A 27,833-nucleotide genomic window follows, 5' to 3' on the forward strand; every position below is an offset into this window, starting at 1 on the left:
TAGACTAGCCTGGCCAACATAGTGAAACCCCGTCTCTACTAAAAATACAAAAATTAGCTGGGTGTGGTGGTGCACACCTGTAATACCAGCTACTCAGTAAGCTGAGGTAGGAGAATCGCTTGCACCTGGGAGGCGGAGGTTGCAGTGAGCCGAGCTCGAGCCACTGCACTCTAGTCTGGGTAAGACTCCATCTCAATAAATAAATAAATAAATAAATAAATAAATAAATAAATAATTCAAAGTGCATTTAACATTCTTTTTCACGGCCACCTTACAAGTATCCTGAGAACTCAACAGAAAGTTTAGTTTTCCCTTCTAGTACAAATGAGACTGAAAAATTATTTTCCATAGTGAAGGACTCAAGGTAGCAAATAATCCACTATTCTGGAGGGTGAGTGGTATTTTTTATTTATTGTTGCTCTTCGCATTCCATGAAATTTGTAATCACTATGACAGTACCAAGCAAACACAGTTCAAGCTGTGATTATAAATCATTTCACACCACCTAAACATACAGTGTAGCTATGATCATGTACTTTTATTAAAGGCAGAGCTCATTATTAATGAAATCTGGAAGCTGGCCAACCCCAAAAGATTAAGAAAAATTCGATGTATATTCTTGGGGGAAAGGCATTAAAGCCTGCTCACCCAACCTTTTTCTATTTTCAAGAATATTACCTTCTGCACTTCATAAGTGCTACAAATCAGTTCACTGTGGTAAAACACCAAAAATATCCATAGGAAAAATTTTCCTATATACAGATTACAATTAAGACACATTATTTGAATGTTTCTAGTTGTGGTGGAATGCTATCCTAATAATGCCTGTTCTCTTTAATCAGTGAGATTCATTTTTAAAGGCCAAGGTATAGTCTAGTAACATAAAAAGAACTGGTACCCTTAATTAAATGTACAAGTTTGGTCTCATTACCATCATTGACACAAGTTAATCATTACTGCATGTTTCTAAAACAATAGGAGTCCAGCTCATAAATCAACACAATCTCTGTGGCTCTCAAGTCAATTAAATACAACTAGATTCCATATATTCCTGAATCCTAAGAAATGTAAAACTTGTTCATTTAAACTTCATTAGGACAGTGTACTAATTTTTAGTATCTACCCCAATAAAATTTGAAACATTTAATAATAGTATCAACTATTTGAGAACTCTAAACATGTAATGGATATTACTTTCTCATTTTAAGGCTCAAGAGATTGAGTCTAGCCAAATTAATCCCAATGACAATGAAGTTTATTCCTCCATTTGCCTTTCCTCTTCAACTCTGTAAATTGAGAAAGGCCTCTGAACTTCTCTTTCTGGATGTGAAAGTCTATTATTCCACAAGGAAACTTAAGGTACATCCCCACCAATGGGATTCCAGTTGAAACCCAGAAAAAGAAAAATAAGAAAAGTTAAACAAATGTTAATAATGCAGCATACTTTTATATAAGAAATTTGTATATAACATTACAATTATCCAGTATAATTAAGCTACCAATGATCTTACACAACACTTTACATGCATATGTATGTACACACAGAGTTATTTCTCTCACAGAATTTTTAAGGACTAATTTGCCATTTGTATGAGTCAAAATGTGTCAGTTTGTCTTAGTACACAAATTTCTGTGAAAATGCTTTGTTAAAACTGACAGGATGGCACATGGTAAGAATTATACCACATCTTACTTAAAGTGAATGAAAAGACAATTCTTTTTACTTATTTACTAGCTACTATGTTTTTAGAAAGAGAAGTAATCACCATATTATGGGTGATAAGGTCCCAGATTAACGTAAGAAAACGAGGACTAAACTGGACATCCAGAATTCCTTTATTTCAAAATAATTTTGGCTTAGATTTACCAACTGTAAAATTTCCCATTTTCCCAGGGGAGACAAGGGAAAAACAAAAACAAAAACAAAAACAAAAACAAAAACAAAAACAAGACAAAACAAAAAAACAGTAAAGAAAGGTTTGAGGGAGTTTATAAAGCATTTATCAAGCCTTACCACACCAGTAATCTTCCTAACAGATGCGCTGATATTCTAAAATAGGCCACAGAAATAAGATGTGTGAAATAGACACAGGTAAACAAACAACAGCAGTTATTACTTGTGACATTTTATTGGCGTATGACAATTTACAAGGGTCCCTGTTGCATCATTATACATCACACTGAGTAAGAATCGTTTAGCCATCTACATTCAATGTTACTGGGTAATATTTTTCTCAAATTATAATTCCCAACACTGATTTTACCTGTGACAAAAGGAACAATAGTAATTCCTTGAAGAAGACTAACTGGAAAAAACATTTTGCTTTTAGTATAAAAATTCCTAGGATGCTGAAAGGTACACATACACACCTAAAGAGTCATGGCCTTCTTAAACAGCTTTCTTAATCCTTTCTGGAAATATCCTTTGGTTCATTTTTATTGCCCCTCTCTAGGCAAAACAAAGTATGTTAACGCAGGTATCAGTGAGTTATTTCCTAGCACTTGTAAGCAAATATCCTTACCAAGAGGAACCATTCAACTTTTATAATATCGTAAAGCGTGGAGTTAAGATGTGTTTTTAAAAAATATACAGGCTTTTTATATGCTTGGATCTGAAAAAGGTAACATCCACAATGACATTCTATTACAGAGTTCTTACAATCACCCTAGCCTACTACACTCTGGTATAATACTCTTTCTTCAATTCTGTTTAACAGAATAAAAGTAACCAAAGGTTAAAGCAATGCATTTGAACTTAAAATATAACCTGCCCACAGGAATTAAGTAGTTTTATTCCCACTCCCTATTACATAATTTCTCAGATCCCCTTTTACCTATTGTCTTAAGTGGATAAGCACATAGTCATGCACACAGATTTGATGTCTAACCAAGTAACTGTTATGGTATTTATTTGTATACAATAAAAGGGTCATGAAAATTCTGTGTTGGGAATCACATCCATGTTGCTTTCACACGTAAATAAGTATTATTCTGAACAGGAGAATATTAGTTATGCCCTGATTAATGCAATACATACTTCCTTTGGCAGGTATTTCCTCTGCTTTAATAGACAATTTTAGAAAGACATGTTAACGGGGGAAAATCACACAATACTAAGGATCTGAGGGCCATAAACATCACATATGTTGAGTTTGCTTTTAGTTTTGTTTCCAACAGTTCTTAACCAATGTTCCTGGCTGTAATCTAGGTGCTAGACGCACTGCAAATCCTCGAAAGTGTTTAAGATGAAAGAGCAATACACTTAAGATCTTCAAAAGTTTACATTAACAGAATAAGCATTAGCTCCTTTTAACACACACACACAACTAAATTAACAAATGAAATGTGTCTACTTTTATATATGCCCATAAAGCAGACACTTAACATTGAAATTTACTATTTTAGATTTTCACTCCTTTAAGAGCTATCAATATAGACACAAAAGATAATTCACATTTGAAAAATTATCTACCTGAAGAATAGAACTCTTAAGAGGAAAAAGAAAAAGCCATTCTACAAAAACTGCAACTGAAATGGGGGGGAAAAAGGTTAGATCAATGCCGCAACAAGCTTCCTGCCAAAACTTTTATTGGTGACATTTGAAAAACAATTTTTTTAAAATACTATTAATGAACAGTATGCTGTGTTTCTCTATTTTTACTAATAGTTACACTACAAACTAATGTTCAGCTCAAATAAATATGTAAGATATGAAATCAGGTACTAATGTATCAACTTATTCTGCAGGATAGACCTCCTACATACCAACCCCAGGATTACAGTTTTTCTTCTGTTTAAAACTAGGATGTTCAGTAGAAATGGGGTTTCTATTTGCAGTATTGTTACAAACCAGTTTCCTCTCACAAATAGCTAATATCTAAGACCATGACTCAAACTATCAAATAGGAATAGAAAGAGAACACACAGTTTTGAACGCAAATAGAAAAGGCTCCTAAGAATGTTCTTTATAGGCCACTGCTTGCTTTCAGTAAAAATAACATTTTCTCAAAACTTTTCAATCTGATTTTTAATAGCTTGTACTTTTTAGCTATTGGCAAAGCTTTTTTTTTTTAATTCCTTCTTAAGCATTTGCTCAAGTGTTAAACTAGCTTAGTTTACCATAGTAACAACTTTTTGTCTGTGGTATACTTCAAAAATCAGTCACCCTACGATGTAGTGTGTTCAAATTAAACAGATGTATACAGTTAAAATAATTAGTGTAGTCTCTATAAACAATTTCTGTTCCAGGATTTATATGTAGAGCTAACGTTTACTTCAGAATAAAACATTGACAAACAGGGAAGGAAGAGAATCAGAACTTTCACAGAGCTGTACTTGACCATATCTTATAGACAAAGCAGAATTACAATGCATGTAACAAAAACGTTAAAAGTTTTAAAAGTTGATAGTTACAAATATGGTACGTAACAATTTTCTACTTTATTTCAGTACAATTTTCAACATACAGTCTACTATTTCTCAAGATATTTGAAGACTTAAAACAAAATTTCTATAGACTACTTGCAAACAGTAAAATTTAAGTAAAATGCTTACATTCTTATTTGAAAACAAAAATCAGGTAAAAAAAATGGTGGGTGCAAGTTCTGCTCTGTTGTAATCTTACTTCATATTTATTATTCCTAAAAGAGAGAGAAAAAATTAAAGATTAACAAAAGATGCGGAGAGTGAAAAGGAACCATATTAATAATTGTTCCTAAAAATGAAATAATTCACCCACCAAACCTATATCAAAAAAAATCTGTCAGAATCACAAGTTGAAATTTTATACCTTTTCTTCCTTGCGTCTGTCCTTCTTTTCTTCATTATTTTCCATGGTCTCTTCTTCATCTTCAACAATCCCATCCCCTTGGTATTTGTCATGAGTCCATTTAGGACTGCTACCTGATTTTTTGAAGTTAAAGCGCCCTCTGCCACGTTGAAAAGTACCACGACCTCTTCCTCTTTTGGCCCAATAATCCACACCATCATCTCTGTCGTCATGCTACAGAAAGGTTAAAAACAATTGTCAATGAAATGTTTCTTGTAAAGATGATCATTTCTCCAATCATAAATCACAGTATTAATCTTCTGAAGATTGGGTATATGAGATTGGTAATATTCTAAAACACAATAAAACAAAACCAGTAAAACTGAATTTTTCAACAAAAATACATTCCATCATCAAGAGAATAACTACATCTTACTACTTAGCAACCCAAGCACTGAAGGTTACCCAGACAATCATTTGGAAGATCTCAACTGCTAAATTACCACTGATTTTTAGAATCCTGAGTTTTGTTTTTTTATTATGTCAATCCAAGTCCACTTATTATTACACCAAATGCAATGAGATAAAATTAAGTTTTTCCCAAAATTACCTTAGTCATAAAGATGCAGCAGAAAGTCATAAAAATATCATTAAAATATTATAACATTCACTAAAATGAAACTGGTGGTATGAATTTTATACTTTACATATAAAAGTAGATTTTAAATCTACTGAGATTGAAATCTAGATCAATGTACAGTACATATCGATGTTCTGGGCTAGAGAATTTCAATGGTAAATCATGACACGGTCCCTAGAATTAACATCTCACTCAGTTCTTCATCAATCTAAAGTACTGCAGTTATCACATCCCAGCTTTAACCATTAATTGTATTCAAATACAGATGATCCCCAAATTATGAAATTGTTCTATTAAGCAAAACAATCTGCAAAACTGAAAAGTACTTGACTTTGTAGATGAGTAGAGATGGGTATTATATTCATACAAAAGGCCAAGGGAGTCCTGTATGTAATTTAATTAACAGCTAACTTATTAACTTTGTCACCCACAAAAATGGGAAATAAAGCAAAATGCCCCTTTATTAGAAAAGGGGTATAATGCAAACAAAATGTTGTGTAATCTATAGAGTACCAGTAGTGAGCAACCATCCAAAAGCCACTAAAACTTTTTTTTACGTAATATGGCATATGAGTATTTTTTTTCCAAAACATAAGACTGTGCCTTTGGATATATTCATTTAACTGATTAACCCCCTTCATGACTTGAAAAGTTCAATTATATGGGTAACTAACAGACCATATGAAAGAGAACTTACCAACTGCTAATAATCTATCTTTACCAAACCACTGAAAGATTACTAGGTAGAGGTGTACATGACTCTATAATGAATGAATTTTGGAACTATCAAAAGTGTAAATTTAAATACGGCAGAGTTTATTACAAACCCAAAATAAACTACTTTAAAATAGTCTGCCACTAAAAATAATGCCCACTCCACTACATAATTTCATGCTCCCTTATCACATTAACATACCCAACTCCAGAGGCTGTGTTTTTTTATGATTTTTACACAATACACCATGGATTCTGGGAAGAGGTTTTGGAGTAGAAGCATGGGTTTAAATCTTATCAGAAACTGTGTGACTTTGGGCAACCTCTCTAGAATTCACTTCATTTTAATAATGTGTGCCTTGAGGGAACACAGATCAGCAGGAAGTGCCCGGCCCAGTGTCTGACAAGCAAGCACTCAATAAATGGTGGCAAAAATGATGTTTCTATAGTGTGTAATATGGATCTGGCCCTGTTCTGAACACTTCACATGTATTTATTCAACTAATCCTCACAACAACCCTCTAAGATAGTATTACTGCCCTCACTTTAGAAATAAACAAACTGAGGCACTGAGAAATTAAGTAACTTGCCCAAGGTCACAGAGCTAGCCCTTTCTTCTACCCCTTGTGACCATCACCCATAAAACACATTTCCCAGATATCTTGGTGGCAGTATATGATTACCACACCAGGTAGCTAAGAGTTAGCAGAAATAGAAAAGCCAAGAGCAAAGCTAGACACTAGGGTTAAACTAGCCATTGCTTTTAATATACAATCATCTGAAACTTGGTAAACACAACAGCACCTAAACAATTAAACTGTGCCTTTCGTAGGGCATCCTGGCAGCTACTTAATTGAGATTTTTGATGCTAAACATATTCTTAATACTCAAGTTTTATATCGAAGATTTCAGTCTCATTATTAAAATGTTTAATTTTTAATTATCTCAGATTTAAAAGGGCCAGAAGTTAGATATTTATACACAGCTAAGAACATGTTAACAAAGGAGTCTGTATTAGAAACCAAGACCTTCTGAATCATCTTCTCTTCTCCATACAAGGATCACGTTTCAAAGGAATAATAACCAAAACTCCAATCCTGAACCCCCTTCCCCACCAACGATTTTCTCTTCCTTTGAAGACAGCAACTCAACACTGAGAATCTGCCTACTTCAGTACTTTCCCACTTGCTCCAACTCTTCACACTCACCCCTCCATAGAATTTCAGGTTCTAACTAAAACTAGTATCTTTCCTGGAATTTTTATTATTGAAAACATTACCACACCTTTGCATAAAACAAAGCTTAGAGATAGGAAAATTCAAAAAGAATGCAACAAAGATTACTATAACTCAGTATTGGACAACAAATAGTACAAACAAGACTTTCAGAACCCTGACTCTGGAGCCCAATGCATAAATCCTGACCCCATTGCACTAGCCACATAACTCTGCTTAAGCTACTCCACCTTTGTACCTCAGTTTTTTCCATCCACAAAAATAGAATAATGGCCCCAACTCAAAAGCCTTTTTTAAGTATTCATACATACAGAACACTCAGAACAGCACCTAGCATAGTACATGATGCTTAACAAATGTTATCTATTATTACTAAGCTTTTTTGTTTGTTTGAGACAGATTCTCACTCTGTCACACAGGCTGGAGTATAATGGCGCAACCTTGGCTCACTGCAACCTCCACCACTTGGGTTCAAGCGATTCTCCTGCCTCAGCCTCCCGAGTAGTTGGGACTACAGGCACGCACCACCACGCTCAGCTAATTTTCGTTTTTTTTGTAGAGACAGGGTTTCAACATGTTGGCCAGGCTGTTCTTGAACTCCTGACCTCATGATCCACCTGTCTCAGCCTCCCAAAGTGCTGGGATTACAGGTGTGAGCCACCGTGCCTGGCCTGTTAGTTACTAAGTATTAATGTTTCATCCAAATGTGCAAACTCTTTTAAACTGGTTAATTGTTCTGAAAGAACCTAAGGGAATGAATGTCTAGTTCTAGACTTTTCTTCTGAATCATATTTTTCCTTCTTTTCCCTCAACATTCCTTTACATATAAGATACAAAATCTTTTAAATTTAACTATTCATGTGAAAACCAAAGTTGCCATTTCAATGGCTCATAAGTAAAAACCAAAATAATTAACTTTGGGAACTAATTTATAAGGAAAAAGTGTGTAATTTTGCTTGATATTCTAGTGAGCATCATCAGTCTGTGGCAAATCAATGTTTATGTTTTATAGAGACCAAGATTTTTAAATATAACCCAGAAAAGCAACATGTAAAAATATTACTGCTACTTATAAGTGGCTAAATTCTTAAAATAAGACAGTTCTTAATGAAACTACTGCCTAAGTAAACGCCAACCCAAAATGAGTATGTACTTGTTAAGGGTTAGCAGACTCAAGAGAATGCCATAGAAAAACGGCCTAAATTTAATATTTGTAAATTGTTAAAAGTGTTAAACAATTACTATCTATTTGTTCACCCCTCATTCCCTCTTAACCTTCTGACCTATCTATCATACCTGGTCTACTTCTCTGGCATTTTTACTCTCTCTCACTTTTCACCCCACCTTTGAAATGTTGGTCTTTATCTCGTCTCTTCTGTGATCTTAACACAGCTTTAATGGTGACCTATAAAATTAGAGCACTTAGATTTTTTTGTTTCTCTAAATCTGAATTACCAACTATCCACTGGACAGCTCCATTTCTCCCAGGCACTTCAAATTCAACCTGTTCAGAACAGAACTTAATCTTTTGAAAGGAGCTTCTTTCCTACAGATTTAGATTCCTTCCTCTCACTACCAACTCCCTGAATTCAAGTCCCCATAAATGTTACTTTCTCAAATCTAGCCCCTTAGTTCAGACACTATATTCTCTCAAATTGCTTAACTTTTAACACCCATGATTTTTGTAAACTCTGCTTAAAACTCTATTTTCTTAAAAGTATTAAGACCTTTCACACTGACTCCTTGTACTCAATTTTCCCACACTTATACCAACCATCTAGCCATCTGAGTACTAGAGTTATCTATACCATGCTGTTTCACTCCTTCTGCTATGTGCAGTACACTTGCCTACCTCTTAACCTCAAGATTAAGGTCAAGTTCCTCTACAAAAGTCTCTCCTAATCACTGTCTCCTTTGCAGAAATCCACCTATTTCTTCTTTGGGAAAAGTGAAAAGCCACCATATATATTTAGAATGTTTGTTTCTCTACTACTAGCAGTCTCTAAGTCAAAAATTAGAATCACATCCTACTTGTCTTTCCATCCTTAGTACCTAGCATAAACATGTCTGTTAATACATAAATTCTTGAACCAAGTAGATGGATCTTTCAAATTTTTCTATACATCAAATGCCTTTTACTTTCCAGAATGTCAATTCAAGACACTCAAGAAGCATAAACTGAGAAAACATTATGCATAACGCACTCTGTAACTTTTTTTTTTTGGTTCTTGGTCATTAACATGCCAAAAAAGAGGCAAATGGAAATATATTTTTGAAACATATATAGTTTTTCCAGACAAAATAGAGATCCACTTCAAACTATAGCTATAACCTCTAAGTAGGTATGTCATGGACATTCAGGTTTATTCAAATATACTCATAAAAAGCCAACTGAAAAAGTCAACAATTCCTCAAGTCCAATACAATCTTCCTCCATGGAAGGAACTAGTTTTCAGAACTAGTCTCTGAAGCATAAATTCTCTGAAAAGCCATGACAAAAAAATGAATACTTCTGGTAATAGTTTCGGTATATTCTTGTCCACCTCTATAATGCAGGAGAGACCCTTTTCCCCATGCCAAACAGCAGAAAATGCCCATCCTTATCTAGAGAATCCTTCAGGACCTACCACCTCTAGCTTCATCCTTGAAAAACTATTTCAGAGGGAAAAGCACCTCTACCACAGGAAGCACCAAATTAGTGTATCTAGCAGCAACTTTTCTGTAATGTAATTTTTCATCATCTTTTTTCTCCAATGAAAGTTGACAGCCTCCCTAAAATTCTTAATTACACGTACTTTGAAAAAATTATTCTCCTTTTCATTTAAACAAATAGCTATGATAATGGAAGGTACATCTTAATGTGAAGTTTCTACAACTGTCACTGTCTTATAGACAGATATAAAACAAACATTAAGCTCAACTATAATATAATGTTTTTCTCTGAATGTGGGTAACAAATCAGGTATATTTTTTGCTTACCCTGATCAGCCTATGTTTAATATCAAGAAAGTATGAACAGGACTAAAGGGACCCACATTTTTCAAAATTTCAAATCGTCTGGGTAATTATTTTAAAAAAGGTTTCCCACATAACGGTGAATCTTCTTATAGTAGTGGTTATCTGTACTCAAATTTATTCACCTAGTATGCTTCGAAAATTAATGCAAACCAAATAAACACAGATGTCTAACACCCACCAAGAAGTACTTCTTGCTCTTTGGGGTATATTCTGGATCCCATTCCTCTTCCTTCGGTCTCTTTTGAAAAGTAGTATTTGAGTTGTTTGGACCAGTATTTGTCCCAGCAAAAACTCCTCTGGCTCTTCCTCTGCCTCTAATTCGAAACTGATTAACATTAACAAAGTTGTTTAGTGATGCAATCAAAAGGTATTTAGTTACATGCAAATTCTAATTTTACTGCAGTAACAAAAAACATATGCCCTAATTTCCTATCTAAATCTCATGGCCATTGAGGATGAAAAGGATGGCCATTTTATATCATAGGCAAAAAATTTCTGCCAACTAAAAGTTGAGTAGGTTAAGAAATGATCAACCTAAGTGTTAGAATACTGTACTTTCATGGACTGAACTAATATTTTTAAATAATCAAGTTGTTTTTCCTTTTTACTAGTCAAAAGTTGTCTAATTTCTTTGAATTATCATAGAAGCCCCAAGTATTCAGCCATACCTATCACCATACAAGCAAAGCTCTTCTCTTTCCCAAATTATCTAATAAATGAACTCCACCAAAACCCAACTAGATACTCGCTCAAGGTAGGAGTGTGAATCTTGAAATTAAACAGGCAAGAAGATGCACTACCATGGAAGTCATTATATTAATAATTATAACGACTTACAGAAACATGGGGATAATGTATATGCTATGTGAAATATTTATATGATTTCTATGATTGATACCCATATAAGCAAGGATTTGAAGAAAGCAGGCAAAATGAATGTAACTGTAATACAGAGATGAACATACAGGGGTTTTATTAAGGCGTTAAGGTACCTTTTCAAAAACTAAGTGATTAAAGAAATGTTATTACAAATCAGTAACTTTCCTTGACTCTTGGTCTTTAAGGACTAGGTACAGTTATTGATCTCGAAGTCAAGAAAAGTACCTAGTTTATACAGATGCTTCTAGACCTCAAAATGGCATTTCTAAATGAAGACAGCACTTCAAACACCACTTCATGTTTCAATACTATCTCTGACTTTAGGAATAATGACACACATAACAATCTCTAAATCATGTATATGACCTTCCTTATGTACAGTACTCTAAGATAAACTCCTACCAAACAATCAAAGATAATTTTTTCACTTACAAAGGTTCCTCGTGGTCGGCTAACTCCTGCAAAGCCTGAGTATTCTTTCATTTCATGGTGAGTTTTAAATTCTTCTTCTCTTTCCTTCTTACTCTCCTTTTCTTCTCGAGAACTGGGAGAAGAAGGTGATGCTGAAGAGGATGAAGATCGAGAATGATCTTGCTCTCTTTTATGTTTACTGCAAAATAAAGAAAACAAAAAATGTGATACTTTTAAAAAGATAAAGACCCTGCTGAATCTTACAACAGAAGAGATATTTTTCAAGTCAACAACACTATCCCCTAATAAAATTATGTAAATAAAATAATTGGGTGTTAAACTTTGACACAGTCTGTTTCCATTCTCCTTCAATATGTGTTTTACATCAATAATGAAAAACATGCTAGGGCCTGCCAGTTAGAAAATAGTAGTCTGTAAAGGTCAAGAATAAGGTTCAGTTCTTTAGTATTTTTAAATTAAGTTATGTCTTTTATTACTTTAATGAAAGGAAGAGAAGAGTAGGAAAAAGTAAGGATGTTCTTAAGGCCAAGTTTCAAAATGACTGCAGTTTGTACACCCTGGGTGAAAATAGTTGGTATAGTTTGGGCTATAGTACCATTATAGCAAATAAAAAGCATATGACATTACAAATAACAGCCATAAATTTAATAACACAAACAAAATCCACCATTTACCTAATGAATAGCAAGGAAAAAGATTATCTATAATACTTTGTGTTCCTATTTGACTCTATGATGATCAAATTTACATGATTTAATGCAACACCCGAAAAGGTCATACCTGTGGTTAACTCTTACCACTGCTAACAGTTTCCAAGGAAATATTATTTTGAAAGACTAATACACATTGCTATTTCTAGTCCTTCCTCCCCCCCATCTCTCCCATGTTAAACCACTAGATATCAGTTTAAAATTCTTGTACTCTGGGTGTTATGAGTTGAAAAAGTGCGGAATCAAGCATAACGAACCAAAGTTCTTACACAAACTGTTTCTAGAAATGCACTGCATTGAAGTCCAACCTCCTGATGTAGCCTGGATAATAGGACACATTAATTTGTCATTTTTTTTTTCAGTGTTAGCTTGCTATTCCAAAGTTTTTGTCCTCATCCACCATAAGCCGTGTAAAAGACAAATACATTTTTGCTGTAAAACAAATAATTTTAATTGTTTAAATTTAAACATTCGATTACACAGTCAAAATTGAAAGCAATTAAGCTGACAATTATTAAAGGCTAATTAGAAGCTAAAACCTATCTTAGTCAGTTTGAACAATTACCTGTCATCTTTGTAAGATTTGTATTCCTTGTAATCTTTTGGAGTTTTTTCCTGCTTTCTTGATCCACTGGATTCCCTGGAGCCCTTGGAATCTCCCCGTTCTTTACTTCTTTCTTTTCTACGGCGATCAATGTCATGCCGAAGGTCAGCAGAGTCACACCTTAATTTTTTATCTCCCTATAAAAGACAGATATAAAATACAGATTTCAGGGGAGAAATAGAAAAAATATATATACACATATTATAGAGTTAAATTTTATGCCAGCTTCTAAACTGGCATTTTAGTATCAGAAAATAATGAATCATATAAGATACTATCACTTAGTTTTTGTTAAAAAATGTACTTGACTATTTTTACTAAACATTTGTGTATACAAAGTGCAGTGGGACTGGGGAAATTATTAAAAGCTAATTATCTTGAGAATTTTGCAGGTTTTTATCCAAAACAATCTATAATAAATTTTTGTACAGTAAATGATACAAATATTTTTTCCACTCAGCACATCCTTATTATCCCTCATCCTTCCAAATGCTGTTTTCAATAGTTGAACAATGACAGATGTTATAATCTGTAGTTGTAATGTAGCCTTCTACCTAAATAAAAGAGATCCTAACATAATGGTTCTCATTACTTAAGCCTCATTATGATCAAGCTCTTCCCAAATAATCTGACCAACCCAATAAAAAAAAAAACTTCAGAAGTAAGAATTCTATAATTTCCATAACATGCACGTAAAATATTATTAATGAAACCAATTGGTTGAACAAGGGTAGAAACAAAGCCAGAAAGATATTCGCAATCCTGTACTCAGTATCTTGGGCCATATACTGCCCTTTCTCAATTCAGGTATTGCAACGGACATTAGTTTAACTGGGTCACAATTCACCTCCTTCTTGTTCCATTGCTTTTTCAAATACTATATAATTTAGGAAGATGGAAAGAGGCATCTAGGAATGAAGAGAAATTATACATCAGTAAGATGCTAAGCAATGTGGACATCCTTGCTAGTATTCAACAATAAGTAGTATTTACTCTGGGAAGTCTGGCTATAATATTCATAAGCATTCATAAAACTGAAAGTACGTATCTCCAAATGATATCAACTACTCACCTATTTGCTCCCAGAGTCACAAAGAAAAAAATCTAATCAAGAGCAAAAAAACCTTCCTATTCACCTAGGTATTACCAAGTCCACAAGTAACAAGATAATGTAAATGAAACTACTTTGTAAATTACAAACGATATATACATAATTACATATTAACATGTTATTCATCCAGACAGGAGGATAAAAACCAATGGCATATCCTCTTGTCTATTCATCAATTATCTCTACTTTTTCTCCTCTGGATCAAAATCTGGTCTATGTAATGAGGAGAGAAGATACTCACTGTCAGAGCACGAGGACAGACTAAACTGTTGGGAAAACTAAATTAACAACTTTGAACCCAAGATATTATTTAAGTTAAAAACCAAAAAAAGTATTCACTACTCAGAATCTGTTCTTTCAACATCAATACGCCCCATGCAAAACAAAAACAAAAAAAATAACAGAACAAAAAAAAACCTTGTTTGTAAGCTCTAGATTCCACATCTAGTAAGTTAATAGCATGCCCTATTAAACTTGTATACTACCACTGTCCATAACAGCTTCTAGTAACAAACGTGCCTATTTTCAAAATAACCCAATTATTCAACAACTCTGCAAAACAGATGCATTCTCATTTTTCTAATTAGAAAAGCAAGGTTCAAGAGGTTATTTTCCAAATATCATGTAGATAGTACTTAGTGACAGCCAGAATTGGAACCAAGCAGTACTTCCAAGTCCCCTAATCTCTTCAAAACAGTTGCTCCCTTTCTGCCTTTCCCCACATTTCTACTACTAGACATTTTATGGCCTGATATAGATTAGTCTACCTGGCAAAGGTCATTTTGAATTGTCAAGAGTATATTGGAGACCCCTTAACCACTGAATTCCATTCTCACCAAGACCCCTCAATATCTTTCACAGGCTCCTCTCTCATGTTTAAAAGACATTCCCCCAATCCCCAAACATTCCAAGAGTGACAAGTCTTTGTTCCAAACGTTCATTTGTAAACCAGTTCTTAGAATGCTTATTTCTTAATCCACATCAAAAATGCTCAGTAGCATGGGGATTACTTCTTGTTATCTGTGAAGAACCTAGAGATATTAATTTAGACACACAAATCGAGAAATATTTACTCTGGCTAATGAATCTCATCTCAAAATTCTAATTTGTATCTTTGATTTTATAATTTCCCTTTGTCTACCCACTGATTCTTTACACTTTTCTTAGGACTATTTTTTTTCCTTTCATTAGTGTTTTGAAAAAACACTCTTGGTTTAAATTTAAGACACTTAGTATAGTGTCACCTTAATTTCTTCCAGGAAGAAACAGTATGTACACTACCATAATATAGTTATGAATTAAAAGTAGAAGATATCTATAGACATTTTGCCTTGAGAAACTATATTTGGTACAATATCATTAACTAAGCTGAACTTAACACGAAAAAAAATTACATTCAAAAACATACCTTTTGATTTTCTTCTTTAAAAACTCTCTCTTCCCCTGCTAAACGGGTATGCTTCCTCAGGGTACTTGGTGAGATGTCAATTCTCCTTAATGTAAAATAAAATATATTTTTAGTCATATTATTAACTTTTTGGTTCAAAAACATCCACACGATTATCCATTTTCCTAAGACAGTTATTTCTCTCCCAATCAACTAATTTAGCACACCAAGACTATTAATTTAGTTTATAATACACAATTAAGAAAAAATACCCACAAAGAATGAATTAAAATGCTCCAACCAGATATTTTTATATAGAAGTGAAGTCTGGCCTTTAAAACATCAAACTTATTTTAGCCATCAAAAATAGAAAAAATGTGTTTTGATTAAACTGGATATGATTTTAAGCATCAACAAACACACATGAATAGGATTATTTGCTCCTGTCTTCAGTATTTTTAGATATTCAGTGCCCCTTTAGTTTTATTCTGCACCTTTCCTTTCTAAGTCAGTATTGGCTGCAACTACCCAGTGCTTCTTTAGCAGTCATCACCAAAATCACACCAACTGTGTACAAAGTACCAAGTCAGATACTTCATAGCCAATATCACTGTCACTGCCACCCTGCAAAACTGGCATGATTATCCACATTTTGTATATGAAAAAACTTACGTCCAGAGATTAAGTTGTTCATCACAATGCAACGAAGAGACAAAGTCAGGATTTCAACACAACTATCTGACTTCAATGCTCATGCTTTCGTTCTCTCTCTCTCACCAAACATTTATTTCACATTTATTTCACTAGAAATTCGAAGGTAACTCTAGGCCTCCACTGCCCCTCCCAAAAACCAAACTAATTGATAACTATTTAATTCCATACTGCAAAGTAATAAGAGTTAATATTTCAAGTTCTAACAACCAGTTTCAACTAAGCTGAAAATCAAGAATTATAGAATTTTCAAGACTTTGAAATATATTTATTTAAAGTATAAATGAGGAATAATACTTGTATCAATGACAAAAACAAACTTCCAATACAATCTTGTTTTAACAGTGTCTTCCTATCAAAACAACGTTTTTATATGCCAGTTCAGCAGGATACATACCTGTGTATTTCAGGGCTCTTTTGCCGAGTACTATGTTCTTCAGTGGCTTTCTGATACGAAGTGAACCGCTCGTTTAGGGTCATTGCAGCTGACTTGAAGTATTGCTCTGTTGATTTAGAAGAAATACTGTCCGATTAGTTAACTTTACTTTAAGAGAGATTTGTTTGTGACAGAAGGGCATGTAGCAGGTGAAAAGAAAATAAAAATAAGAAACCTAGCAAAAGAGAATCAAGTGTTACAAGGAACTCCTACCCTTTCAATTTCTTGTACCTCAACAGGAGAGTGTTTCGAAAGTTGCTCACAGGTCCCTGTCAATACTACATCTAATCCAAGAGCAATTAATAGATTAAATCAAGAGTCTCTAATTCCACTTCATTAATACACTACTTCCTCAGAACAAAAAGGAACATAATCTATGGATGCTCTAATACCTTGCCAATATGAACCAATGACATTACTTCAAGTAATCATTTGCAGAAAACAAAAAACAGGAAAATATGGAGTTAACTAAAAAGCTTGTTTGGGTCAACTATTAAATTTCATCAGTGACTATATGCTGCCATATCAACAAAAATGGATTTATAAAAACACTGAATATTATCACCCAAATTGGAAAAATATTTTTAAATCAATTAACATTCAATAATTACTCCAAAAATCTGGCATCTTGGCAAACCCAACAGCAAATTTGATATTGCTGTTTTGTCTCTCTTTAAACAATTTTCAAACTAGTAATATCAATACTGATTATTTTTAAAACCAGTTCAAGATATGTTGTAAATGTAAAATAGAAAGACGTATAAAGTCATGAGCTATGAAATGTCACATTATGAAGCAAGCTATCTGCTTAACAGGTCAACATACATCTGTTGTCAACTTACCGCCCAATATCCAGCACATGTCTCATAACCAATCATTAAAACTTGAAACGGCCACTACAAGGGTAGTGCCTCAATCATAATTCCATGAAACCCAGGAATTTGAGCTAGCAACTCAGTTTTTATGCCATTTTTGCCAGGAAGACAGAAGATTCAACTTTGCCTGTATCTTTCAACAGCTATTTTACTTTGAAACATGGATTTTGCCATTTCAAAACATATTCCAGGACCTAGTTACAATGAAAAAGAAAACATCACTGGGCATTTTCAGCTCTATATAAAGTAAGAGCTGTTCAGATCGGTTGCACAATACCAATTATGAAACATTACTACAGTTCTTTTAAAAAAAAAAAAAGAAAAAAGAAAAAGGAAAAAATTTATCAAAACCTGATCTCAAAATTCAGTAATAAATTGTAAAATGTGGAGCTAGGCCAAAAAAGATTAAAAAATTAAAAAAAAAAGAATGTTTCATATTTTATGTACCACAGTAATATGGTCATAAACTGGTTCACAAACCTACTCAGAGCCAAATAGCAAAACTGTCTTGTTACCGTGTTTAAATAATTACAGCCCAAAAGAAATTCATCTAACTATTCACTGTTCTGATGTATCAACTGCATAAAGAACTGCTAGAGGCAAGTTTCATCTATTACATTGAGCTGTTCTCATGTCAAACGACAGATTTTTTAAAAGCGGGGAGGGGATTAATTTTAAAGGCCAACAGTCTTTGAAGTTCCTGAGAAAGAATATGTCTCATAGTAAGTTGCTTTTTAAACACAGAAACAAAACAACAAAAACAAAACTTAACCTAACTGCCCAAAAGACATACTTGAAAATCTTTGAAAATTATTAGTAACTCTGCAACTATAATTACATACTGGTAAAAATTTAAAAAAAAAAATCATTACTTTAGTTGAAATAAACAACCTTATCTTTAGGACCTAAAGAAGTGTCATCATTATCCTAATTAGTCACTATTCATGTAATCAGTATTTATATAATATACTTCTAAATTTCTTGAACGTTTTTCCTTTAAAAATCCTGATAAATTTTCTTGTTTTATCATTTTAAGATTTTTATGTATAAAAAATTAAGCGCAAAAAAAGTGTTTTTCCACCATTTCAGATTTCTTTAAAAGTTGAAAAGAAATTCTTAGAAATATTCAATAACAATACTGTCTGACTTTGTTATAAATCTATGCCAAGATTATCACAAGCCATAGGCATGCAATGAAAGACTATCTGTAAGCCTTCTGCACTTCAAGTACATTACAATGACATACTTAAAAAACACTTTTAGCATTCAACAAATCTACATCATGTTCTACCATGATACAGATTTTTAGCATATGGTTTCTCCAGCATTTCAATTACTTTTTATTAACTATCTTCATAAGTTTCAATGCTAGCAAGACTAGGGACTCTCTTCTATGAAACTACTTTTCCAAGTTTTAATAATATTGGATGTATATTTGCTAGCCCTGGGGTACATGAATTATTAAGCATAATTACACATTTTTTTATTTGCATGCAAGAGAAATTTAATTCACGATACTAAACATACTAAGCATACCTTTAACATGATGAACCAAGGACACAATGTGTTGAATAAATGACTCTGAAGTGCTTTTGCTGGCCTGTGGCAACTTAATGTGGTCAAAGATGGATCGGAATTCTTGCTCCTTCTTGACAGAATGGACAAGTGTACTAGCAAGCAGCCTGTCTTTAGTCAAGGAAGCAGGTCTGGAACATATTGATAACACACACACACACAAAATATACCATTGGTTTAAATATAAAAATGGTATGTTCAGAAAGTTTAAGATAATTAACTGGAATACTGACTGCCCACAGATTATTTACTGGGCATCAATATGGAATTACCTGTTAGAATCATCAAGAGGAACAGGTGCCATTTTGAGTTTGACTTCAGGACGGTGAGAATCACTCGCTATCATTTTGATCCTAAGTGGGCTTTCCTCTCTGAAGGTAGACTTTTCTCGTGCATCCAGATTCTTGTGTAGAGGGGGACTGTAATCAAAGAGGTCTTTGAGCTTTTCAGACTTTACCTGCTCAGGTGACTGAGTTTCTTTCTTTACTGTTATTCTTTCAGAATTTTTGTCTTCTTCTTTGTGCTTATCTTTTGTAGTGCTAGGCCTTTCCACTACATATCCAGTCTCTTTAAGTTTATAATTTTTTTCTTCTCTAAATCCATCACTTTCTCTATTGCCTTTCAGTGAAACTTTGGACTTGTACTTGAGTCCTTCCTCCTCAGTATTCCGGTGAGATGCAGTAGCAAAACTTTTACCCTGATCTGCGAGGACTGACTTCCTGAACTGTCTATAATCCTCTGTCTCCTCTGTGTCATCCCCTTCTGAATCATTAAACTTTTGTTTTCCAGACTCTTTATCACTGAAGTAATCTAGAGCTTCCTGATCTTCCCATTCTCCCTCTGCCCTCCCTTTCTCTGATCCTTTCTCTTTTGAAGCCTCTTTATCCCTGGTATTACCCCTATCAAGCAGGAATACTCTAGACTCTTCATCTGTGAACCTGCGAATAAGCAAAGAAGAGGATAGTAACTCTGGATTGCATTCACTGTAGATCGCTTCCATATTTAAATGTGTTGCCCAATCCCTCAGGACCAGCAAGAGAGAAAATAACCCTATTGAAAAGTGCTTTTTCAGATTCCACTTTTAAAAATCATTGAAAGCATCCATATAGAACTTATGTACTGACTTTTAAAATAAATTTACATTTGACTTCTGAAGTTTAAAACACAAAGCCAATCACAAAAACCTGTCCTATTTAGTCACAATCCACAATTCTGCACTAACACGAACTTCTAGAGATTGCCTAAATTTAATTTTTGAAACTAAGAACCACTAATAGATAATACATTGTTAGAATTCTATTGATAATTATCCCCAAAATTCCAGATATTATCTATTAATATAAACAAGAGTTCACACAAATGGATTTAATTACCACTGCAGTAATTTAATACTTTATGAAAATCACAGAACAGTTCATATAAACTTGCTCTAGAAAAATAATGATTTCTGGCACTATTTCATAGAAACTAATGATCAGTTCAATCATAAATTCTAGATTGTGCAGTGCTATTCCACAAACAGCATGTTTCCTCTATTTTCTCACTTTTAAGTCAAATCACAATACATGAAGCAACCAATTTTCACTGTTAGCAACTTTCAGCAACACTTGAAATCAGAATTTAAACAATGTATCTGTTTCAAATGTCATTAGTCAGTGAGAAATACCATTACCTTTTGTATAGTCAGGCTGAAATCATTAAATATTGACAGCCAGACTGTTTATGCCACCTAAGAACATGCAATATAGCTGCATTATTTATGTAGGTCACATTCTAATAGTGAAAAGAACAAAATAAGCCTTCAATGCTTTAAGAAACTTAATTTCTAAAAGGTTTACAGTTATTAGCAACATATATCATTTAGTTATGCTCTAAGCTACTCAACTTCTCCTCATCTGTATTTTTAATTCTGGACCGAAAATGGTAAAATTAAGAGGAGGGATAGAAATTAGGTTTTTTTAATTCTTTTTAAAGAGACAGGGTCTTGCTCTATCGCCCAGGCTGGAGTGCAGTAGGCGCAATCATAGCTCACCACAGCCTTGAACTCCTGGGCTCAAGAGATCCTCCCGCCTCAGCCTCCTGAGTAGCTGGATAAATTAATTTTTATTAAAACACTTAGCTTCCAAAGTTCACCAGATAAGAGTAAAAACAATTTGGAATTATCTTAAAATGAAGGAAGTCAAGAGTAAAAACCGCTAGTTAAATACATATCACAATTTTACGTTTATAATTCCAAACAGAATTCAAAGAACAAAAACAATATTATAATCTAGATTCTGTATTTTAGTTTTTACCTTTTTAAGAACTTCCCAGTCTTTGCAGTTTCCTGATCTCCACCATCAGGATAAAACGAGGAACGGCCCCTAGACTCATCTCTTGGAGCATTCTGTGGTGCGATTGTCTTTGCAGGACTTCTTCGTGAAGGGATGTGATGAATTGGACTATTCTGAGAAGGACTGTATCGACTAGATCCATTTCCAACAGAACCAGACCCAGACCTTTCAGGACTATGCTGAATGGAATGTGAATGCTGAGAAGGAGTATTTTTTGCAGAGTGAACTGTACTGAGCATGGGAGCATCAGAGCAAGATGAACTCTGACTAGGTGGTGTAGCAATAGGTGAAGGACTATGGGGTGATCTAGGACTATTATCATAAGCTGAAAGGCCAGGCCAAATATCACCGGATGTGGCTGATGACTTATTAAATTCATCGATAGACTCAGATGGGTCATGTTCAAATGTATCTTTCGGTTCCTCCTGTGATTTACTTTTCAACGGACTCTCTTCTTGGGGTTCCCCTTCAGCTTTTTTGGTTTGTTTTTCCTGAGACCCTCGTCTTTTAGAAACAGGAGATTTGCTATATGGGGATGAAGAACGAGAAGAGGATGATCTTGGAGACCTAGAAGATCTATATGACCGGCGAGATCTGCTTCTGGATCTTTGAGAAGAAACGGATCTTCTTTTTGGACTCCTGGAACGTGAACGACCTCGTCTAGGACTCCTAGAGTGCCTTCTATTCCAGACAGGTCTATAACCACCTCGATGATATCTACCTCCTCCTCCTTGATAATACCCTCTACCCCTTCCTCTGTACCCATAAGGTCGTCTCATTCCTCTATTATTTCTGTAATCGCGACGATAATCTCTAGAATACATACGATCTCTACTACGAGACCTTGAATATGTTCTGGAACGAGACCTAGAACTAAAAATGAAATAAATATCAATGCAAGAAAAATAAAGTATTCCATGCTACCATTCTAAATACTCTGGTTGAATATAACATGTAAATAAACAGTAAAGGCAAAAATACACTTTTTTAAAAAACTCATCTGTACAAAAGTTAATGGTTTCCAATCAAAAAGCCTCACTAAGGTAAATACTGAGAGAATACCTTAAAGACCTTACAAATGAAGGCACAAAACACACACACACACACACACACACACACACACGCATGTGTTATATATATCACATGCATTAGGACATATTAGCAAATTGTAGTACCTCTAGGCAAGCACTTAAATTGATGTTGTAAAAGAATATTTAATGGCATGGCATAATATATAGTTAAATGGGGGAAAAGATTACAAAAAACTATCAGTGAGATACTATTAATTAAATACATACATAATATAAAGTTAAGCCTGGTGGGGGAAAAAGAATGAGCATCAACTACTATTAATTCTTAATGGTATTATGGTCATTTGTATTTTCAACTTCTGGTTTCTGTTTTCTATGCTAAGTATGTATTACTATTTTAACAAAAATAACCAGAGTTGTTAATTTTTTTAACAAAAAAAATTATTTTGTTAGAATTCAAAGATTCACAGTCAGAAATGAGAAACTATAAAACAATATGCAGAGATTGTTTACTGTCAAATTCTTGCATTACCCAATTCATCTCTTAACATTGTGGACAAATACAAAGAAACCTACCATACATTATACAGTAAAATTTGAGACCTGGAGTCAGACTAACTGGATTTCAATCCAAGCTCTGCCATTTACTAGAGCTTGTTACCTGGACATTCTCATTTTCTCGCTTACAATAAGGATAACAATAGATCCATTTCACAGGGTTCTTTGAGAATAAAATACATTTTGGGGTTTAGCACTGTGTTTACGATACTCATTCAACAAGTATTAACTGATATAATTATTTTAAAAATTTAAAGCACATTAAATCACCTGTATCGCTTCTTTCTAGAATGAGATCTTGATCTTGATCGAGAACTAGACTGTGATCTAGACTTTGACCTTGAAGAATGTGATCTAGAATTGGAGCGACCCATTTCTTTTCTCCTAATCAAATGATAGGGCAAAAAAAGGTTAAAATTACAATATGATATTTAAAATTTTACATTATTACTTATTTTCAGATAAAATTTGATTTTTACAAGTTTCTCAAAGGCTATTATTCACCATCCTTTTCAAATCAGTATTCAGAAGACAAGTCAATTATCCCTGACTAAAACTGTTTTCACCTGCATGACAGGTACTGTCGATTAAAGACACAACTGAAGATTTTTACGGACTGCCCCACTTATGAGCCTCAATCCTAAAAGGCAGCAGCTGCAGAAGCCAGAAAAAGCAATGAGACTGCAGCAGCATGTTATGTGTTATTCCACGCCCAATACAAATGCCTACCCCTCCTGTAAGAAAGATAAATAATAAAGGTACTACAGATAAGGCAACTGAAATAAAATAAAGTGTCACAATACTAACAAAAAATAAACCTACCAGGCTGTTATCATAGTGCTTTATGGCCTTGAAAATGAGACTGAACTGACCACTCCATATACACAATCCTGTCTGGAGTGGTACTAGATAGTATCCTAGAACAATACAGGACACTAAGTTTCTAAACAGCTGGAGCCATGGCTCTGCTCTCAGTACTCATGACTCCAGAATAAAGTGGACTTATGTGACAATGCCTAGTTCACCCTGAAGCTTTCTGTTAAGAAGATTTAAAAAGAATAAAAGATAAAGAATTGGAGGGATTACTTCAAGAAAGATTTATTAGAACTACAAGAAAAAAAAAACTTGGGCACCAGTAGTTTAACTTTTCTAAACACTACATGGTATCCAATGCTATAATTAGACCTCATTGGGTACAGAAATCAGTAACTGTCAAAACTAATTGATTTATAAGATCTACTAATTGAAAAAACATACACATATAGCAAATCACTGCATGCATATCCCAAATGTCACATTTTCAACTTTTCAATGATTAGATTATATCTTAGCCTCTCAAGCTTGTTTTTGCTGCATAGAACTATTTCCAAATTTACACTAACTTACTCAAAAAGTATTCATTTCAATAAAAATCAACTTACTAAACTTCTAACACCTTGCAATTCCCATAATACTTAAATAGTATCTCCTACAACCAAGTATTTTTGAAGGCACTTTTTTACCTACCTAGACTTTGTTCGGTATAATAAAATAGTATTTGGAGGTACTAAGATGAGTTCAGTTATAGAAGAAGTAATGGTAATACTTGGATAGTTCCTCATCAAGCAATATAAATAACAAATTCAAGATGTTTGAGATAAATGCTTATTTCAAAATAAAACATAACTATCCTCTAATAGACTACCACCTTTGTCTTCTCTCACTCTTCTTCTCAATCCCAAGTAAGCAAGAAATACATAAAGACAGAAACAAAACATAGGTTCAGGGTTCAAAAAGGCAAAGTAAGAATTCCACAACACATAAGAAATAAATTTAGCATTAACATAAGGAGATCTGACACCTTGTAGAACACAAATTTGGTTTAGCAACTGTAGTTTTGACAACATAATGAAATTGGCAAAAACCACATTTACAGCCTGTAAAGGAAGGAATCTTGGCCACGGGGAACTGTGACATTCTCTTGCATCTGATTTCAAAATTCTGTCCCTCCCAAAGTTTTTAAAAGAATATAAATACGTAATTTACATTCATTCTGATCGAATTTACTTCAAGATATTTATTTTTATCCCACTCTGAGATAATCAGACACACTATAAAAAGAAACCAGAGCTGCAAATGATTTTGGAGATCCAGTCCAGCAATAAGACAACATCCTTTTTCATTGTACTAATCAGTAAATAAAACACTATTTTACTAAGAGCTACAGATGCTGTGTTGTGCTGTATCTCCAGAATCTCTGTTCTTTGCTCTTGAGGCTTTTTGGATGGTAATTTCTGTTAAAGGATTCAGGAATTCTGTAGGCTTTTTCAGTCACCAGGATGTAGCTGGGCTTGTGGCACACGAGCACAACAGGTATTTAATAAATAACTATAAAATGAATGCATTCCCCAGAACCTGGACATTTTTTAAAGCAGCAAGTTCATTTTTAAAGGTTTGCGTTTTGCTTTAAGCTACACCTGAAACTTCAAAAACTAACGGAAAGAAAGCATGCCTATCAAATAGTTAGCAGTCCAAAAGAAATGGATTGATATCTTCTGCTCTACTGCAAAAACAGGGAAAAAGCTAAGAACATGGTCTCTGCATTTAAACTACATGAATTCAAATTCCTTAAGCTCTCTGAGCCTGTTCCTCAACTGTAAAACGAAGAAAATAACAGTACCTACTTCACAGACTTGTAGTGGACTTAATGAGTTGATGAACTTAATTCACTTAATACATCTAACACATTAGCAATCAATTTGAATTACCTAAACACTACAGTAGAGAGAAACAAGTTATGAATCTCCTCTTGTTTACATTAGGGAAATGGGTTAAGTAGCAGTCTTTCTATCTTGTATGTCCTGAGTCTTTTAGTAGATGTGTTTATAGAAATAGAAAAAGCAGGAGCACAACCTGGAAGAAGACAGAAAAAGAACCTTTTTCCTAAAACTAACTTAACATCTGACTTACTTCATACAAGCCACCAAAATAAACAAAAAACAAAGCTTCGGACCACATCATTTTTAATCACTCCATCTGAATCATCAATTCAGTAGTGACATTTCCTCAAAAAAGTCAAAAGTGAAAACTAGAAAAATGAATGCTCTTTTACCTTGGTTTTATGCAGGATCAAGAAGTCAAGTGAAGTCTTTGAGATACTGTAAAAATTCTTCCTGGAGAGAATGCTCTGAGAAATTAAACTCTAAATTCGAATTCCTAGCAAAGACAAAAAAACCATTATTGTGATTTATGTTAAATTAAATAACCATTATTTACAATGCATATAATGGGCACTGCCATAAACTCTAATAAACGCACTTACAATTTCAGGGAAGGAAAAACTAATTCAGGAAATAGGAAACTTTTAACCGTAAAAGCTTAAAATTCAACTTTTTTGTAAACCACAATGCAGTAGCGTATCATGAAACTGACAGCATCTTTTTAACTACTTGAATTCTAATTTTAGTAATTTGAGCCTTAAAAAACATATGATATGTCGTTCCATCAGAAAATTCCAACGTAGCTAACATAATGCCATCTTGGTAGCGGGGCAAGGTAGCACAAGCCTGTAGTCCCAGCTACTTGGGAGGCTGATGCAGAAGGATCACTTGAGCCCAGGAGTTTGACACTGCAATGCACTGTGATCACACCTGTGACTAGCCTTGGCAACACACTCTAGCCTTGGCAACACAGCACGACCCCATCTCAAAAAAAAAAAAAAAAAAAAAAAAAAGGTAATCTGTAGTTAATTTTCATAATGCTCTACTTTATAACATCTAAAATATGAGTTTAATGCTCTGCTACTTATTCTCTTTTGGTACTTCCTTTCACACAATTTAGTTTCATGTGAAACTGATTTTTAAATCCACGTTAACAGCCATCATAGTAACTTTAAATTCTGTGCCTAAAAGCATCTTGATACGTCTACATTCAAATAAAAGAACAGTCAGCAATGAAACTTTTATCTACTGAAAGTCAATATTCTTCCTAAAATAATTTATCATTAATCTGTAAATAAACTTTGCACAAAATATTCAAGTTACCAATACTGAAAAGTTTAGCTTTATGTATATTCACATCAAGTATGTGCAAAGGATAGTCAAAAGCACCAGGCGAACAGAAACTAAGGAATACAAGATTAATATACATCAGCACTCAAAGAATTCATGAACAAGTTTAAATGGAAATCTGTAACTCTTACCAAGATCCAATTTTAAAAATAAAACGAGACTGGAAATACAAAGAAGAAATGGTAACATTAAACTGGTGAATCAAGAATAGCGTCTCCTAAAATATCCATGGCCCTCCAACTGGGGAGAGATTTGAGGTTCAGCCTAGGAAGGAGGAATCGGAACCTATTAAGGGAAACACTAAAAAAGTAGCAAAGTCAAAAAGCCAAGCAAGATTGGGTACAAAAACAAAGGATTTCTAAAGGACATATAAGTTTAGTTTTTAAAATATCAAAACCCCAAGTGGCCAGAGAAAAAAATGGCAATCTTCTAAACTGGAGTACTGTCATAAAACTATTCTGACCTGGAAAGTCATTACTACTGATTCACTCCTAGAAGTGGTACAAGGCTCATTTTAGCTAACACTTCCCTAAACAATTCCAAAAGGCTAATTTATATATATATATACATATATATGTGTGTGTGTGTGTATATATATATATATATATATATATATATCCAGAGAAGACCCAACTGCCAGATCTCTTTACTCCGTCATGGTATTTTGAAGTTCAAAGAAAATAAACACTAGATATAAAAAACTGACAGAACAGGGAATACAGGCTGTTAGACCAGTGGATATACATTCCTGTTCACAATCTATAAAT

At 33.8% G+C, this 27,833-nt stretch overlaps 1 protein-coding gene across 24 annotated transcripts in view; it reads right to left on the reverse strand.

The window, feature by feature from the left end:
- Nucleotides 1–151: 151 nt before the first annotated feature.
- BCLAF1 (BCL2 associated transcription factor 1) overlaps nt 152–27,833 on the reverse strand; it is a 33,220-nt gene continuing 5,538 nt past the window's right edge. The window contains exons 2-15 of one of the 24 annotated variants that reach the window (NR_170165.1): nt 26,109–26,212; nt 23,288–23,401; nt 21,390–22,301; nt 19,368–20,033; nt 19,057–19,226; nt 16,607–16,712; nt 15,520–15,604; nt 13,848–13,908; nt 12,962–13,137; nt 12,666–12,828; nt 11,687–11,864; nt 10,554–10,700; nt 4,790–5,002; nt 1,819–4,640 (exon numbers count right to left, since the gene is read on the reverse strand). Coding sequence is in view for 17 of the 24 variants with exons in the window: in NM_014739.3 (NP_055554.1) it covers nt 4,635–4,640; nt 4,790–5,002; nt 10,554–10,700; nt 11,687–11,864; nt 12,962–13,137; nt 15,520–15,604; nt 16,607–16,712; nt 19,057–19,226; nt 19,368–20,033; nt 21,390–22,301; nt 23,288–23,391 (2,763 nt within the window). In the remaining 7 variants the exon portion in view is untranslated. Of the gene's footprint in view, nt 4,641–4,789; nt 5,003–10,553; nt 10,701–11,686; nt 11,865–12,665; nt 12,829–12,961; nt 13,138–13,847; nt 13,909–15,519; nt 15,605–16,606; nt 16,713–17,487; nt 17,715–19,056; nt 19,227–19,367; nt 20,034–21,389; nt 22,302–23,287; nt 23,402–24,704; nt 24,725–25,764; nt 25,910–26,108; nt 26,213–27,833 lie in introns of all 24 variants that reach the window. The other 23 variants (NR_170167.1, NR_170166.1, NR_170168.1 and 20 more) reach the window with 23 other exon arrangements.

Source organism: Homo sapiens, chromosome 6, assembly GCF_000001405.40.
Source record: "Homo sapiens chromosome 6, GRCh38.p14 Primary Assembly".
Classification (NCBI taxonomy): Eukaryota; Metazoa; Chordata; class Mammalia; order Primates; family Hominidae; genus Homo; species Homo sapiens.